Source organism: Homo sapiens, chromosome 1, assembly GCF_000001405.40.
Source record: "Homo sapiens chromosome 1, GRCh38.p14 Primary Assembly".
Taxonomy (NCBI): Eukaryota; Metazoa; Chordata; class Mammalia; order Primates; family Hominidae; genus Homo; species Homo sapiens.
The window spans coordinates 193,051,327-193,068,466 of NC_000001.11; the positions used below are offsets into that span (position 1 = coordinate 193,051,327).

The following is a 17,140-nucleotide window of genomic DNA, read 5'->3' on the forward strand; positions in this document are numbered from 1 at the left end:
GGTAATGTGATAGTGTGTAGGCAAGTTCTGGATTACTATAAATATATATTATCTATCAAATATGCTTTAGTACACTGAGCTATTGTTCTTGCTTTTTATGTTAAAATGTGTTCCATGTTCTAACACTATTGATATATAAGTGAATTTTGTAAAAAAAAAAAAAAAAAAAAATCAACTAACCAGTACTTTGTGGATATGGAATTACAGAGCCTTAGGTTTGACTCCCTTGCAAGTTACCTATCAGCCTCAGGTTCTTAGTTATAAAAAAATAATAATAATATCTATCTCACAGGATTGAAGAGACTTAAAGGACATAACGTATTCAACCTAGAGTAATCCAAGTAAAATAAACAAACAAATCTGAATATCCTTTAAGTTTGTTAAAGTATATATATATACATATTAACACAACTAAAATTATACTTACTTTAATTTTTCAAAATTCTCAGGCTCTAAACTCCATATTTCTTCTACTTGGGCTCCTCGGCAACCTGAAATAATAAATTATTTTCTTCAGTAAACAGGATAATTCATTTTTTCCTTCAACATGAAATAAAATATTAACTAAAGGAAATGCAACACATGACAAAACAAAATGGTAAAACTAATAAAGCTCACAGCCAAATCTCATTACTCTCTTTAATATATCCCAATTATTTACAGTGGGAGTATATTTATAATTTAAAGAGTTTCAAGAGTTTATTTTCATTGAATTACCACTCTATGACTGTTCCTTCTCTCTCTCTCAATCTCTGGCACCTCTATCCACTCTTTTCACTCAACTGTTCCATTTCTCCAGCTCTGTCTTTAGCCTTATATTATTATTATTTTTTCTTACTCTATACTTTTTTTTCTGGGAAAGTAAATAACTAATACTTAACAGTAACTTTCAAATCACATCTTTAGTTCTGATCCTTATCCTGAATTCCAACTGTATATTTTCAACTACTTCAGAGTCACGTCTCCTCCTCCCCTCCCAAATATCCTTCTAAGACAGCAGTTCTCAACTAGGGTGATTTTGTTCCCCAGGGAACATTTGGCAATGATAGACTTTTTTTTATTGTCATTATTGTCACTGGTGTGGACGGTAGGGGAGAGGCTACTAGCAACTATTTGGTAGAGGCCAGGGATGCTGATAGATATCCTACGTTGCACAGGACAACCCCTGACAACAAAGTAATACCTGGCCCAAAATATCAACAGTGCCAAGGTTGAGAAACTCTGCTCTAGCGTACAGTAGTAATCGTGTAGTGGTTAAGAGCTCGGGCTCCAAACTGCCAGAGTTTGAATGCTGGCTCCTACATTTACTAGCAATACAGCCATTTAAACTCTACATTCCTCACACTCACAGAGCTGTTTGGAGGAATTAATGAGATAATGTAGAAGATAATTTAATTCAGTGCTCAGCACACTTTAAGGGTCCACCAACTATTAGCCAGTATTATCATCACAATACAAAAATCAACCGTATTTACCAAAGTTTTTTATGTCCTCTACATAAAGTGCAGCTAGTATGTGCCAGAAACCTAATTAAAACCCACATCAGGTTTCAAAGTCTGGGCGCTTTCTAATTTTTCATATGATTTTCAAGTAAAAGCTAGAGAAGCCTTTAGACTACTGCAAAAAAACAGTGGTTAAAAAAGAAAAAAAAGTTGGGTAAACTAACAATGTGACTGGGCATTCATGCCATTCTGTGCCTCAGTTTGCTCTATTCAGCAAATATCTATTAAAGGCCCATTCTGGTATTAAAGATACATGTACAAAGAGAGTTACTACATGGTTTGCGGTGGAGGAGAACCAGAAAAAATCTGAATATCTAGCAACAGATTAAGAATAATAGACATTCACATATATCAAATTAGGGAAAAAACCTCATAAATGTAAACCTATGTTTCTATCAGTGTCAAGAAGGGCATGGAAGGATGTTAATGCAACTGTTAACACTGGTTACTTCTATTGGAAATCAAAAAACAGGCCAAACATTAAAACATTCTACATCATACCACAACAATAAAGAAAAAGTACGCTGAATAAAAGTGCCTCAAAGCCTCCTGCACTGGTAGAATTTCAAGTAGCGACACTGCTTAAACAATCTCACATTAAACACAAACACATCTGTTCATGTAAGGAAAACACAGTATTCAATTTAGCATCTATCTCCTTACATATGTTAAATATCTAATACAGCATGGTATAATGGAAAGAGAAATAAGCGCTGATTCCAGAGACCTACATCCTGATCCCAGCACTGTCGTAAAGGTCTTAACCTTGAGAAAGAACACAATTTCTTTGAGCCTCACTTGCACCATGCATATATAAAACAAGGATATTTACGTGCTTCATCCAAGCCACAAAATTCTTGTGAGGTATATAAGATTATCAAACAATAAACACAAAGAATCACTTAATACAGACTCCCCAATAATATATATTAAATAAAAAGTTGAGGAGGGGGGAAGGTTTTAAAATGGTATTTACCAAATATCTTTTGCGTGCCAAGCATGGTACTAGGCCCTGGCAAAGACAGAAATTAATAAACTATTGTCACAATACTTAAAAATGTCACAATCTGGTAGGAGACAAGCACATACAATGCAAAAACTGTATAGAATGTATAAATTACATATGAAGCATATATAGAACATGTTCTGGAAGTTCGGAGGTAAGAGAGATCATTACTACCTGCACTGGTTACCAAAAAAAAAAAAAAACTGTCATGGATAAATGAACTAGGTCTTTTAAAAAATGATCATACGATTTGTCATCTAAACCAGAACCCTGTTCCAAAGCGAAAGCGGGTGCTAACGTTAAAATGCTTTGAAATATTTATTAACTAACACATCTGTATTATACCGATGGGTCTAGGGATAGAAACAAATTTCAAAAATAACTGTCTTAAAAATCAACCTGGAGCCCCAAGAAAAACACTCGTGGAGTTCTCCCAAACTGTTGTCAGTGTGTTAAATTTAACTGCTAGGTATGCTATGTTCCAACAGACGGTTTTGACAACTTGTCATTCCCCTAACCCTACCGATAAATCTATCAGAAGCAGCAAGAATGGCCCCAGCTTTTGCACCTCTGCCAAAAAACACTCCCATATGTCTTCCACAACCCCAGTCTCAGTCATTCCATGGTACAGATAAATTCCATTTGGCTGATGATGTGACCAAATAGGAAAAACTGGATTGACAGCACTCAGGTAGTCTCTCCTTAAACAAGGACTAGACTCAATTATTTTAACTAAAATGGGAGCCCTAAATTGCAGGCACTGTTACCTTGTACCCCTAAACTGAGCTGGTCCCATTTTAGGGGCTGTAACAATAGGAAGCAACACTTGCTTCCAGGGGCACCATATGCACCCCAAGACTTCTTGTGTGAAAGCCAGGCATTATCTCTTTCCTCAAAACAAGATGAAATGTACCTTAGAAGCAGTCATAATAGACCTTCATGTTAAGGAAACACCACGTTGGACCCAAACGTCTTTCAAATCTGCCCTAACTTACGGGTCAGAGTTGTTATAGATGATGGAATTACTCTTCCTCCTTGCATGACAAGGTGGAGTCTGCAAAATCACTTACACATCTTGCTGTCCCTGGATTAATGCTCTGAGCCAAGAGGAAATGTCAATACAAAAATCCAAGAAAGCCATCTAGTTTTTTTACTGTAAACATTATAAAGACACAAATTAAACAGATTTGGCACCAACCCTGTCGGTCAGGTCATATTGAGCAGAATGGCTGAGGGAATGGCTATTTAGTGTAGAAAGAAGGCTGGATATTGTTGCAAGACAATTCTCAATGGGTTTCTCCTGTTTCTGCACGTCTTCTGCAAGGAATTACCAGCTTTGCTCTGGACCATCTTTTCAAGGATGTTCATATAGTAAACAGACTTGGAAGACAGAGACAGCACCTTTTTTTTGAGGCAGAGGGAAGGCTGATTTGCTGTCCAGGATAATAAAGATAATGTGTCCCTAAAGGCAAAAGTTGAGCAGGTTGGCTAGCAGCCCCCCTTGTTAAGATTAGTTCTCTAGCTGAGAGTTCCTCATGTGTAATACAGCCTCACTACTTGTGCAGCATCCACCAGAGCCCACCTCCAGCCTCATGGACTTGGAGGAAAAGGCAACCAATGTGAAAATGAATCTCCTGCTGCCTACTATGCTATAAGTAATACAACCCTTATCTCTAAACCAAAAGTTGTCTGCTAGCATCTATGAAACTGGCAAGCCAACTTATTTGCTGGCAAGCAGGATAAAATCTAACACTTAATAATTCTTAACAGATGTTAGATTTTGTCAAATGCCTTTTGCATCTATTGACATGATCATGTTTTTGATTTTTTGGCTTATTAATATGGTGCATTACATTGATTTTTTAAATGTTAAACCAATCCTAAATTACTGGGGTAAATCCCACTTAGTCATGATGTATTGTTCACTTAATGAATTACTAAATTCAATTTGGTAAAATGGTTTAAAATTTGTACATTTAAGTTAATGATGGATATAGGTCTGCAATTTTCTTTTCTAGTAATATCTTTGTCTGGTTTGGTGTCAGGATAATGCTGGTCCTCAGAAAATGAGTTGGGAAGCATTCCTTCCTCTCCAATTATTTTGGAAGAGTTTATGTAGAATTGGTATTATTTATAATATTAAATATTTGATAGAATTTACCAGTGAAGCCACCTTGGCTAGAATTTCTTTGTGGGAAAATTTTAAACTACAATTTCCATTTCTTTAATAAACACAGGGCATATACTGGTTATCTATTTCTTAAGTGAACTTTGGTAATTTGTGTCTTTAAAGGAATTTGTACATTTCATCTAAATTGTCAAATTTATTGGCATAGTTGTTCATAATATTATTTTTAATATCTGTAAAATTTTAGTGATGTCACCTCTCTCATTCCTATACTGAAATACAGGAACATCTCTTTTTTTCTGATCAGTCTGGCTAGAGTGATTCTATTGATCTTCCCCAAAAAACAGCTCTTAGTTTCATGTATTTTCTCCATTTTTTTCTCTTTTCTGTTCCACTAATTTCAACTCTGATCTTTATTATTTCCTGTCATCTGCTTACTCTAGGTTTTCTACTTTCTTATTAAAATGAAAGCTGGGGTCACTGGTTTGTTGTAAGAAAAATGAATCTAGTCCCCATTACTCTATCTTGGCTGTAACCAAATATTTACAGCTTCTGTTTTTATTAACAGACCATCACGGTTTGTTTTGGCACACATATGTATTATGTGTGGACCATACCAATTAAAAGTACAGTTCTGCTCCACCAGTTTCTTAATTTAATGATACTACATTCTACCAAAATCTGTATTTACATACTTACTGCATCTACAATTCATTTCCCTTTCAATGATGGAACTTTTGAAATGAATTTATGACAGCATTCACAATACAGGTATTTCATTTTTGAAAGAATCAACAGCCAAAAGCTTTTTTAAATCTATAAATTGGGTGAAAAAATGAAAATGATGGAAATAATTGGAATAAACTGATTTTCTCTTTGAAGCATCTGATGGTGACATAAACTACCACCATTTAATTGTTTGCAGGTTCTTCTGCTAATGAAGCCAATTTATTAATAGCTGCTGATTTTTCATATGTGCATGTACAGAAGATGAATTTATATATCATTCTTTCATGCATGATCTCCAAGTTTTCTGCACATATGAAATTGAAGGAGTAAAAACAAACTTACCTAGTACAACATTTCTGAAAGTTAACTTTAACATATTGTTAAGGTTTTGAACGTAAAATATATGACTAAATCTGCAGACATGTCAAACTCAGTGTCTGTCCAAATCTGAATCCATTTTCTTGTCCATCAAGCCTGCTCTTCACTTGTAAGAGTGTTTCACCAGCCACCCAGGCTAGAAACCAGGGAGTTATTTTTGCCTCTTTTTTTCCCCAACTTTTAGTAAGCAGTCCTTTTGATTTTTTTTCTCTTATGTAGGAGTAATATACTACCACTCAACCTCTACTGTAAGGTTGGCAGCCCTGAGAACTCCTTTTTTAATTTAGCGTGTTATGGATGTATTTCTGCTCCCAAAGGAATGAAGAGCAGACATTACCACATGCAACTGTTGATTTAAATATAGCAAACTTATTGAATCTAACTCCTCCTTCCTAACCCACTAGTTTAGCCAATCATCTCGGACTCCAACCATTTTAAGAGATGTCTAGCTTCTCTCACTTTATTCCAACCTGCCCTGCACACTTAAAAGCACAATAAACCTTAATTATGAAAATAATGTCATTTCAGCATTAAAATATATTTGATAGGTAAATCCCCAGTCACTACAGGGCAATTCAAACTATACAACATGGCATACAATCTGTCCTCAGTTTATCTTTTCAGTTTCAGATCCAAATAAATATTCCTCCAGTCTGCTATATTATGTTCTAGTCACTTTGCTAGCTGTTGGCTAACCCATATACTTTAACATCACTACTGTTTATGCTTTTCCTTCTGGCTGTGCTCCTCCATGACCTGTGTACTTTTAACATTTTGTATATACTCTAACATAGCAATTAACACACCATATTATAGTTTGACTGTCAATTATTCGAAACAGCAGTTATGGTTTATTCACATGAAAATTTCCCAATCCTTGGGTGGGCGCGTGGCTCACGCCTGTAATCCCAACACTTTGGGAGGCCGAGGCGGGTGGATCACGAGGTCAGGAGCTGAGACCAGCCTGGCCAGCATGGTGAAACCCTGTCTCTACTAAAAAAAAAAAAATTAGCCGGGCATGGTGGCGCGTGCCTGTAATCCCAGCTACTCGGGAGGCTGAAGTAGGAGATTCGCTTGACCCCGAGAGATGGAGGTTGCAGTGGGCCAAGATCGCGCCACTGCACTCCAGCCTGGGCGACAGAGCGAGACTCTGTCTCAAACAAAAAAAAGAAAATTTCCCAATCCTTACCACTGTGCCTGAGATATAGAAGATGAACAACATATGCTTGATAAATGACATTCCAAATATTAAGCTGTGTACAACAGGCAATATCTACATCAACGTTTAATTGTTAATCCCGCGTAAAAGTTTTAACATCGTAGAGTCAATAACACTTGGGAAATAGATAAAAACGTACTGTCCAAAGAAGAGACTAAGAACAAGATAAATAGGGAAGGATAAAAAGTAAAATGTGTTGATTATTTAGGACGAAAGGCACTAAATACAGCCAGAGAGAAACTGTGAGGAAAGCATGTGGCCTCTAGTCTAGAACACTAGCTCAAGAAAACTCACTTCACCGGAAGCCAGAAATGAGCAGAGAGCGGAACCAGTGAAGTGGCCTTTCAGGCCCACGCAGTCAGCGTGTGTGGACGTCCCGAAGAGCTATTCACACATTCAAGGCGTTCTGCTTTGAATAACCAGAATCTCGAGTTCCTGGGCGGCTTGAGCCGCAGACACCTCACCCTTGAGAAGGCGCACCCTAGGGTGGCTTCTGCAGGACTAATGGCCTGAGCAATGCACTTGACCTCACCAGCCCGGGATAAGGTGCGCGCCGCAGAGAAGGGGCAGTGCAAAGGGCAATACGTGCTTAAGAGCTTGGGGAGCGAGGGCCCTCAAGTCAATTACAGGATTTGGGTGCCAGGTCCTGAGGATGCAGCAGGCACAAGACTGACACGATCCTTGCCCTCGTGGTGTGGCTCTACAAATTACTGTGGAAACGCGACTGTCTCGAGCTGAGGAGAGGGCAGAACATCTACATTTCCCCCACCCGGACTCCAGGTTCCTGAAGTCACCTCTCCAGACGCGGGGCGGCGGTGGCCGCAGGGAACCACTCCATGCCCAGCTTGGGCCTCCTCCCGTGACCCCAGGCCCAGGACGGTCCCCTTGGTTCTCACCGAATCCTTTAATGAGCTCGGTGAAGACCCCGGGGTCGCTTTCCATGAGGCACCACTCCCCGGCATTGCCCGTCATGGCCCTGGCCACACACCGCCCCGATCCACCTCTCGCTCTCAGCTGCCCCCCGCACCAGCTGCCGCCGGCCACAGATCTCAGCAAACCCGCCGCCGAGCTCGTCAACCACACGTCACCCCGCCTACTTCCCGACAGCCTCCGGGCGCCGTCACCTGCAGCGCGACTGAGCGCGGGAGGACGCTCTAGCCACCCTAGAGACATCGAAACTCTTCCCAGGCCTTGCAGCACCCGTAGCGGATTCGGAAGGGCTGGGGCCTGAGAAGAAAGGGCGGTGATTCACAGCGCCGAGGAGGCAACATCCGGGATCCTCGCCCCTCTGGGGCGGAGGCGGGGCAAAAGAAGAGGGGCAGGACTCGTTCCCGGGAACCGAACCTGGAATCCCCGGCGGCAGTGGGGCTGTTGCTGTTGCTGTGGCTGTCGCTGCCCGTCAGGCTGCCTTCTTTTGTCGTTTCCCAGCGCTGCGCAGGACTTCTCCTGGCGGCGCTGCGGATCCAGGGGGTCGGCTGCCAGGTACAGGTGAGGACATTGCGGGAGGCCGGCTGGGAGCCTTTTGTGCGGCCCCAGGGACGCGCAAATTCTGACCAGTCCTCCATGTCTCTCACCCGCATCCCAGGGGTTGAGGCTGGGCAAACGCCGCGAAACTATCGCTCTTCCCCGTCCCGCTTCCGCGCCTGTCCACCCTGGGTAACGGAACCAGCATCGCGGTAGGGACATCCTCGCTAGGCCCGGCCGGACCATTCCTCAGGGTGGGCCCTTTCCGAAGCCGGGACCGCTCCTGCTTGTCGGCATCGCTCCCCACAGGCCGACGTCGAGAGGGCCTGCTTTACTCCTCCTCTTTCTCCTCCTTCTCCCGCGGCTTCTGCGCGGAGAGGCGTCGCCCGGGATCTGGGTTTTGGAAGAAGGATCTTTGTGGGAAGACAGGGTGAATTTATCACAGAGGAATAACGAGGGAGAGGAGAAAGGTTTGTCCATGGGGCTGCTAGACTAGTGGAAGGGGATGCGGTGCGTCAAGGGAAAATTAGGTTGAAAACAAATGTCGTGTATTAATCTAAAAACATTTGGAATGGTTCTAAAACTGGATGATGAGTTAAACCAAATATTTACTAAATATTTACTAAATTGCCCTCATTCAGCAGGCTCTTATAGAATACTATAGTGTTAAGATTAAAGTTTTTAAGAGTATATTGAAGTCGTTAAGTGTATATTTACTCCTTAAAAGCTACATATTCCAAGAAAGACCTTTGGCTTCCAGAAAAAAAAAATGTTTTAGTGGGTAAAACTCTGACTCCTTCCTTCTCAAATAGGTGACTTGTGCCCTGGAGTTAGGGAGCCTTGTGCTACAGATTATGTGAAGCCATGAAATAAACGTGGTAAATTTTATTGAGGGAAGCAACAGAGCAGCTTTTGTATTAAAAGGAGCCTGAGTACGCTATGGGGTAGAAGCCAAAATTTGTATGAAGTGTTGGTTTAAAAAAAATTTTTTTTGTAACTTTCTTGAAGTTTATCTCCGGAAACTCTGCCCTCAACTTGGAGACTAGGAGGATTCTGTACAGTATATTTCCTTGAGATACTTTATTGGAAAAGTTTAAGAGGCACAGAGTCCAGAATGATTGGCATCAGAGCCCAAAGTAGTTTGTGGTATTTTTTTTAATCTGTAATATTGCTATGAACTTGAAAATGTTTTCTGTGCAAAATACATCAAAACTAAAATGTACTTGATACCCAACTTAATTAACATGGTACCTATTGTAGAAAGACCAAACTGAAAATTTAGCCTTTGGCACAATCTAGAAGTAAGCAGAGAAGGGGGTTAAGATGCCTTTCATTATGTTAACGTTTAATCCTGAGAGTTTACATAAAAAGCCAGATTTCTGGGTCTTTGAGAAAAATGAGATCTGGCAACTACTAGTTCCATACCACGTGGCAACCAGTTGGCAGCTCCCCTCAGACTAGCATGCTGTCATTTTTGCCACAGTTCCTTCCTCATCAGTTTTTATAGCATCACATTGATCAGTGGATTCAGATACCTGTATCATGGGTAAACAAACCTCTATCATGGGCCCAATTTTCTATTGTTGTTTCTTTACATTTGTCATGCACTCTCATAGATATGTCAGCTTTGACTTCATTTAAAAAGGAATAATCTGCAAATGTGTTTGACTTCTTGAGATGAAAGGCAGCATTTTCAAATAAATTATAAAGAGACTTTGGAAGATATTGAGATGTGTAAATTCAAGAAAAATGTAGGATTCCTTGGAAATAACACATTAGTACTGATAAAAGATACTGTATATGCTGTAGTTCTGATGATTGTGAAACAAGTGCTATTATATAATGTGTGTTACTAGCATTTCCTGATTTTGCATTCTAAATTAAATTTAAAAGTAGAGAAATGGACATTGTATAAAATATCCACAACCAATTTAATATGCGGCCATGCTTGGCCGGGCACCGTGGCTCACGCCTGTAATCCCAGCACTTTGGGAGGCCCAGGCGGGTGGATCACGAGGTCAGGAGTTCAAGACCAGCCTGGCCAACATGGTGAAACCCCGTCTCTACTAAACATACAAAAAATTAGCCGGGTGCGGTGGCAGGCGCCTGTAATCCCAGCTACTCAGGAGGCTGAGGCAGGAGAATCGCTTGAACTCGGAGGGCGGAGGTTACAGTGAGTGGAGATCGCGCCACTACACTCCAGCCTGGGTGACAGAGTGAGAGTCTGTCTCAAAAAAAAAAAAAAAAGTGTCCATGCTTTTAATATTATAGTATTGTAATATTTAACTTCTCAAGAACTTAATTTATAGAGATTTAATACAACATTAGTTGTATGGTGTGTTTTAAGAGCACTAGATAGATAGGTCAGGCCCATCCAAAGAATTAACTATATCTTTTTGTTGTTAATCTGGATTTACAACACTTGATTATCCAGGAATGGATTAACTGATGACCAGGTTCTGACCTCACTCACTGCCCAATTGCCTTCTAAACCACTGATAATGGAGCTTAAGCTTTGAGGCAGGAGATGATGGCAGTTGGAGAAAGAAGAAATTAAGTTGCTGTATATGTCTTGTGGGTATCTCAAATTGCTTTTAAAAGTCAAATATAAAAATTGTAGGGCTAAATATAATTTTTGTGTAATCAATTGTATTGGTGCTCTCCATTCTGATATAGATAATAGCAGAGTTAAGTGCTTGTTTATTTAAATAACTTTCCAAATATATTTTACCTGGCTAGTTTATGTTTGTATTTTTAATAATAGATTTTTAGAATATAATTCACATATCATGAAGTTCACTATTTTGAAGTATCCAGTGCATTGGGTTCTAGTATATTCACGGAGTTGTGCAGTCATCACCACTAATTTCTGAACATTTTCATCACCCAAAAAGAAATCCCCTACCCATTAGCAGTCACTTCCCAGTGTTCCCCCACTCCGACAGCCTCTGACAACCTTAGACTAATGTACTTTTTATTTCTATGAATTTACCTACTCTGGAAAATTCATATAAATGGAATTGTAATACAATATGTGGCCTTTTGTGACTGGCTTCTTTGACTTGGCATAATGTTTTCAAGGTTTGTTTACATTGTGTCATGTATCACTACTTCATCCCTTTTTATTGTCTAATAATAGTCCATTGTATGGATATACCATATTTTTTTCATCCCTTCATCAGTTGATGGACATTTGGGTTGCTTCTCCTTTTTGACCGTTATGAGTAATGTTGATAAAAACATCTGGATACAACTTTTGGTTTAGATACATGTATTCATTTTTCTTAGGTGTGTGGTAGAATTCCTCGGTCATATGCTAACTATATTTAACCTTTTGAGAAACTGCCAGACTGTTTTCCAAAGTGGCTGTATGATTTTACATTCCCACCAGCAGTATATGAGCGTTTCATTTTCTCTAAATCCTCACCAACACTTAATATTATTGTTTTGATTATAGCTGTCCTAGTGGATGTGAAGTGGTATCTTATTGTGGTTTTGATTTGCATTTCCCTGATGACTAATGATGTTCGTCATCTTTTTATGTGTTTACTGGCCATTTGATAATCTTCTTTGGAAAAACACCTTTTCAGATTCTTTACCCATTTGTGTGTCTTTGGAGTAATATTCACATCTTTTGCCTATTTTTACTTGGGTTATTTATCATTTTATTATTAAGTTGTAAGTGTTCTTAATATATTCTAGATACAAGTCACTTATTGTATGTATGATTTGCAAATATTTTCCTTTTTCTTGGGTTGTCTTTTCACTTTCTTGATGGTGTCCTTGGAAATACAAGTTTTAAATTTTGATAAAGTCCAGTTTATTTTTTTATTTTGTCACTTTTGCCTTTGGTGTCTGCGTTCCAACACTAATTCTGTAGCATCAGCTGGGTGTCCCCCACTTCCGTTTAGTTCTGGCACTAGCTGCCCAGGGTTGGCATCAGATCCCACAAATTAAAGGACAAGGTCCCCACTAAGAATGCCATTAATTTGGACACCAGCTGTAAATGGGGTCCCCAGGCTACTCACACTTCTGCCCTGCGGACTACAAATTCAAGACTTCCCATAATCCCCTCAAGGCTGATAGTTCACTAGAATGACTCACATAACTCACTGAAAGTGCTCTACTTGCAATTACAGTTTTATTATAAGGGATACAACTCAGGAACAGCCAAACAAGAAGTAGACACATATGGCAAGGTCTGGGGCAAGGGAAGGATGCAGAACTTCCATGCCATCCTTGTGAAATGTGGGATACAACTCAGGAACAGCCAAACAGGAAGTAGACACATATGGCAAGGTCTGGGGCAAGGGAAGGATGCAGAACTTCCATGCCCATCCTTGTGAAATGTGGGCACATCACCTTCCCAGCACATCAGTTTTTGTTCACCAAGGATGCTCCACTGAGTATCGATGAAGAAAGTTTTTATGAGGTTTCATCACATGGGCATGATTGATTAAATCATTAGCTACATGGCTGAACTTGATCTCAAGTCCTCCTCCTTTCATGGAAGGTTGGCCTGACCAGTTTATTCCTCTAAACATATAGTTGGTCTTTCTAGTGATTAGCCCCCATCCTGAAGCTACCTAGGGGCCCATGTTGCCTCATTAATGTAACAAAGACACTCCTATTTCTCAGGAAATACCACGGGTTTTTGAAACTTTCTGCTGGGTATTATGTCCAAAGACCAGGTACTCTCTCTTATAAGATGCCACAGTATCACATCACTTTGCCGAATTTTGAGTTTATGTGTGTATCACACTCAGTGACAAGAAGGAGAGTAACTTGGGACATGTTATTCTGTTTTCTGTCTTTTAAAATATGAATATGACCCTGGTAAATTTATATAATCAAGTAGGAAGGTGCCCTGGCTGCTAATAATGTTATCTGTTCCACTGTTTTATGTTGCACTCTGGAAAGTACAGTCACAGAAGCATAGGAAAACCTGAGCAGTTTCTGCTGCAGAAATACTGAAAGGGTATGTCCTCAGGGTTGTCATTTATATCATAACATGCAAAAGGAAGAGTCCATGAATAAGTAACTTTATTTCTTCTAATAGGGATTATAAGGATTATACTTAGAGATTACCTCTTAGACATCCTTCATAGATTTAAAAGTTCATTTTGCTGCTTGCTCTAGAGAAGTACCTGAATACCTAATATTAAATATGTTAGAAAAACAGAAATTTTGTTCTTAGATGACATTTTTACTCAGTATTCATTACTTTTCTTTAGAACTTTATTTTTTCTTGATTATATTTTTCACTACCTGCATATAGTACATTTATCATTCTGATTACAGAATTTATCTTAAAGACTTGTATTATATTTTGCATTATAAATATTGAGGCTTTTATTCTCAAAATGTGTTATGGGAAAGAGAAACCAATTGTGCATAATTATTTGGCAAATGGTTCAGAAAGTCAACTTTAATGATATTTGGCTTTAAGTATGTATTGCTAATTACATAAAAGCAATACAAAAGAGGAGACAAAAATGATAAGATTTGGTTTCTACTTTCAAGGGAACCAATAATGTAGCTACATGTGGTCACAATGAATAATACAAGGAAAAGAATTTGAGGGGAGAGGGAATTTTGAGGTTTGGTTTGGGACCTTTTAAATCCCACCACTTGGGCCTTGGTGCAGGAAAGCAAGTTTAGTAGAATTATCTGATATTAGATGTCATTTCAGTGTTACTCATCTAACAAATAAAACTAATAAGCAGAAGTAGACAGGTTGAAGTGCAACCAGAGCCTGTTTTTATGAAAGCTGAGGGAGAGACTAGCAAAGTCTATGTAATGTAAAGATCAGAAAAACATAACATTGTCTACTGGAATTGGCAATTAAGGTATCAGTCTTTGAGAAGCATGTTAGTCTTCTTAAAGTGTTTTGGATCGAAAGGTAGAGATAAAAGCCAAATTTGAAAAGAGGATAATAATAAATAGGAGAACAGGCATCCACTGCAACAGGAGTTTCAACCTATGCTGTATTCAGTAACTATGAATTTGTCCCTAATGACTAATATGATCATTACATCTCTGATGCCACCTGAGACCTAGGCTTCCACTAACATAAGCAAATTTATACTAGCGTCTTATTTGGAATATTGACACTAATATTCCGAACACAATTCAGATCACTGTCCCCCTCAGTCACATTCAAAATGTGAGGCTCTTCATTCTCCCATGCACTTATCCCTACACCACTATGTGTTCCCCTCTCTGAGACCCAGTCTTTCATTCCTCCCCTCTCTACCAAACTTCTCCACATACCATTTGGCATTCTACATCTCCTGTCAGGGGGGAATGTCTTCAGTTTCCTTATCCCTCATTCCTTCAAATCTATCTTTACCTATACTCTTTACCCTTAAAAGATAAAGGAAATATCTCTTGCTGTCAGTAGGCCAGTCTCAACCTGGATGCTCTAAGCTCATTCTCATTTCTTTAAGAAATTCCTTCAGTTATCCCCCTTCTCTACTGTATCTTCAGCTCTCCAAATTGAATCTTTCAATGTTAGCATCTTCCCATTGAAAAAGGTAAAAAGATTTTTTCTCTAAGTCCCATCCTCTTTTACTTTCCTTCATAGTTTATAAGTATGTGTCTACAAAAGAGTAGTCTAGCTGTGAAGTTTCTTCCTCACTGCATATTCTCCTGATCTCACTGTAATCAAGCTACTTCTTATACCACTCTACTGCAGTTGCTCTCACTAGTCACTCCTACTTGCTAAACCCAGTGGTCATTTTCTAGCCTTTTATTTACTTTTCCTCTGACCATTTGAAATTACCAACCATTCACTCCTTGAAGTTCTCTTCCTTGTAGTCCATGATACTATTCTCTGTCGGTTTTCTTCAACTCTGTGCACCTCCTTTTCCGTCTCTCTTTAAAAGGCCTTTCTCTCATTAGCTTTTAATGGTTAATATTCACCAAGATTCTATCCTTAGCCTTCCTTGTAATATATAAACATGTTCAAGTAAGCATGATCTTCAGAACAAAACTTCTTTTATCTTGTGTTCCTCTTTAAGTTATGACCGTATCTGTCAACATGTCTTTATGGCTCTACAGGATGCTTAGACAGTTTCTTTTCTAGAATATAAAGACAGATCGAGATTTCAGAAACCTCTTCCTGGAGCGCCTTCCCTAAACTTTATCAGTTTTTTAGTTTGCCTTCTCTGCTCAAATCCTTCTGGATTATTTAGACAGTATTATTTTATACTTCCTTGCTCACTCACTTTTCCACTACAGCACTTAATCACAATTTGCCTTCTCTGCACAAATCTTTCTGGATTATTGAGACAATATTATTTTATACTCCCTTGCTCACTCATAATACTTTTCTACTACAGCACTTAACTACAGTTTGCATTGTGATTCTATCCCCACAAATGAGTGTGATTTTCCTGTGATGAGGAGAAAAAAAAATTTTTTTTCTTTCTTTTTTTTTTTTTTTTTTTGAGACAGAGTCTCGCTCTGTCCCCCAGGCTGGAGTGCAGTGGCAGGATCTTGGCTCACTGCAAGCTCCGCCTCCCGGGTTCACGCCATTCTCCTGCCTCAGCCTCCCTCCTGAGTAGCTGGGACTACAGCGCCTGCCAACACGCCCGGCTAATTTTTTGTATTTTTAGTAGAGACGGGGTTTCACCATTTTAGTCAGAATGGTCTTGATCTGACCTCGTGATCCGCCCGTCTCGGCCTCCCAAAGTGCTGGGATTACAGGCGTGAGCCACTGTGCCCGGCCCAAATTTTTTTTTTTTAGTCTCTTTAATGGGAGAGAAATTGTCTTCATGTCTTACACATAGTATGTATTCAGTAAATGCTGGTTTAAGTTTTTGTTGGTTGTGCTGTTTTGTTAGCCATGGACAGAAGCCCAGTGCACCGAAATAACATGACAGATTGAAGGACCTCAATAAACAGTGATACTGTAGTAACAATAGTGGTGGACTGATGAAGAAGTGACAATTGTGGTTCCTCCATTAGAAGGATAAAGAGGGATGTTGTTTCCAGACAGCTAGTTCTAGGAGTTTTAGAGCTAATGGAAGGAGTAGAGTGAGGGTAGTTACAGATGACATAAAACCGTAAACCTAAAAATGGCTTAAACAATAAGGATACATTTATGACATAATAGGAAGTGTATAAGCAGGGCAGTTTCAGGTAACCCGATATCAAGGACCCAGGTTCTTTGTTTTTTCTGTTCTGCTCTCTTTATATATTGGTGTGCCATCTTAAACTGGCTTATCTCAAGGTCTGAAGATGGTTGTTACCACTCCAGGCATCACTTGCAAATGAAAATGTCAGAAGGCAGAAAAGGGAACATTTCTTTTTAAGAGCCTGAGCCCCCTTTTAAGACTGAAGAAAACCTCAAAAGTGTTCTCAGCTGACTTATCATGTCATACTGGCCAGTCATGACACATGCCCAACTCCCTATACCAGTCATGTGGCAAGGAGAGCACCATGATTATTGGGCCTGGGTCAAGCAGCAGCAGCAGCTGGGAACTTGTGATAAGTATACATGCTTAGGCCTCACTGCAGACCTACTAAATTATGAAAGAAACTCAGGGCAGTGCCTGAGAGGGCTGACCCACCAATCTATGTTTCAATTAGTAATTCAAGTAATTTTGATGTACATTGAGTTTGAGAACCACTGGCTTAGAGCAATAAAGATCCATCCCTTGGGGCTAGGGAAAGGCCTAGCCTCCTTTGAAGGATATGAGGCCAAGAAG

At 39.5% G+C, this 17,140-nt stretch overlaps 2 protein-coding genes and 1 non-coding gene across 53 annotated transcripts in view, besides 4 other annotated features; 1 reads left to right on the plus strand and 2 right to left on the minus strand.

Annotated features, from left to right (window-relative positions):
* The window catches only part of UCHL5 (ubiquitin C-terminal hydrolase L5), a 47,823-nt gene extending 39,073 nt beyond the window's left edge, over window positions 1-8,750 (minus strand). For 17 of the 36 annotated variants that reach the window (NR_146930.2, NR_146931.2, NM_001199261.3 and 14 more), the window contains exons 1-2: window positions 7,859-8,034; window positions 428-491 (exon numbers count right to left, since the gene is read on the minus strand). Coding sequence is in view for 26 of the 36 variants with exons in the window: in NM_001199261.3 (NP_001186190.1) it covers window positions 428-491; window positions 7,859-7,934 (140 nt within the window). In the remaining 10 variants the exon portion in view is untranslated. Of the gene's footprint in view, window positions 1-427; window positions 492-7,858; window positions 8,035-8,086; window positions 8,185-8,306 lie in introns of those variants that run through there. The other 19 variants (NM_001350847.2, NM_001350846.2, XM_047422333.1 and 16 more) reach the window with 4 other exon arrangements.
* SCARNA18B (small Cajal body-specific RNA 18B) lies at window positions 5,955-6,089 on the minus strand. Its single transcript, NR_135615.1, has one exon.
* Window positions 7,386-7,695: an enhancer, noted in NCBI's record as "active region_2265". NCBI's record gives its function as "activates an Ori minimal core promoter by ATAC-STARR-seq in GM12878 lymphoblastoid cells {active_cell/tissue: GM12878}" and the evidence as "EXISTENCE:reporter gene assay evidence [ECO:0000049][PMID:35858748]".
* Window positions 7,720-8,452: an enhancer, noted in NCBI's record as "NANOG-H3K27ac-H3K4me1 hESC enhancer chr1:193028176-193028908 (GRCh37/hg19 assembly coordinates)". NCBI's record gives its function as "activates a minimal SCP1, AML or CMV promoter by ChIP-STARR-seq in primed H9 embryonic stem cells {active_cell/tissue: H9 hESC(primed)}" and the evidence as "EXISTENCE:reporter gene assay evidence [ECO:0000049][PMID:30033119]".
* Window positions 7,856-8,385: an enhancer, noted in NCBI's record as "active region_2266". NCBI's record gives its function as "activates an Ori minimal core promoter by ATAC-STARR-seq in GM12878 lymphoblastoid cells {active_cell/tissue: GM12878}" and the evidence as "EXISTENCE:reporter gene assay evidence [ECO:0000049][PMID:35858748]".
* Window positions 8,286-17,140, plus strand: part of RO60 (Ro60, Y RNA binding protein) — a 32,166-nt gene continuing 23,311 nt past the window's right edge. For 4 of the 16 annotated variants that reach the window (XM_006711495.5, NM_001173524.2, NM_001331020.2 and 1 more), the window contains exon 1: window positions 8,286-8,450. The gene's annotated coding sequence lies outside the window, so the exon portion shown is untranslated. Of the gene's footprint in view, window positions 8,451-8,547; window positions 11,001-17,140 lie in introns of those variants that run through there. The other 12 variants (NM_001042370.2, NM_001173525.1, NM_001042369.2 and 9 more) reach the window with 5 other exon arrangements.
* Window positions 8,453-9,185: an enhancer, noted in NCBI's record as "NANOG-H3K27ac-H3K4me1 hESC enhancer chr1:193028909-193029641 (GRCh37/hg19 assembly coordinates)". NCBI's record gives its function as "activates a minimal SCP1, AML or CMV promoter by ChIP-STARR-seq in primed H9 embryonic stem cells {active_cell/tissue: H9 hESC(primed)}" and the evidence as "EXISTENCE:reporter gene assay evidence [ECO:0000049][PMID:30033119]".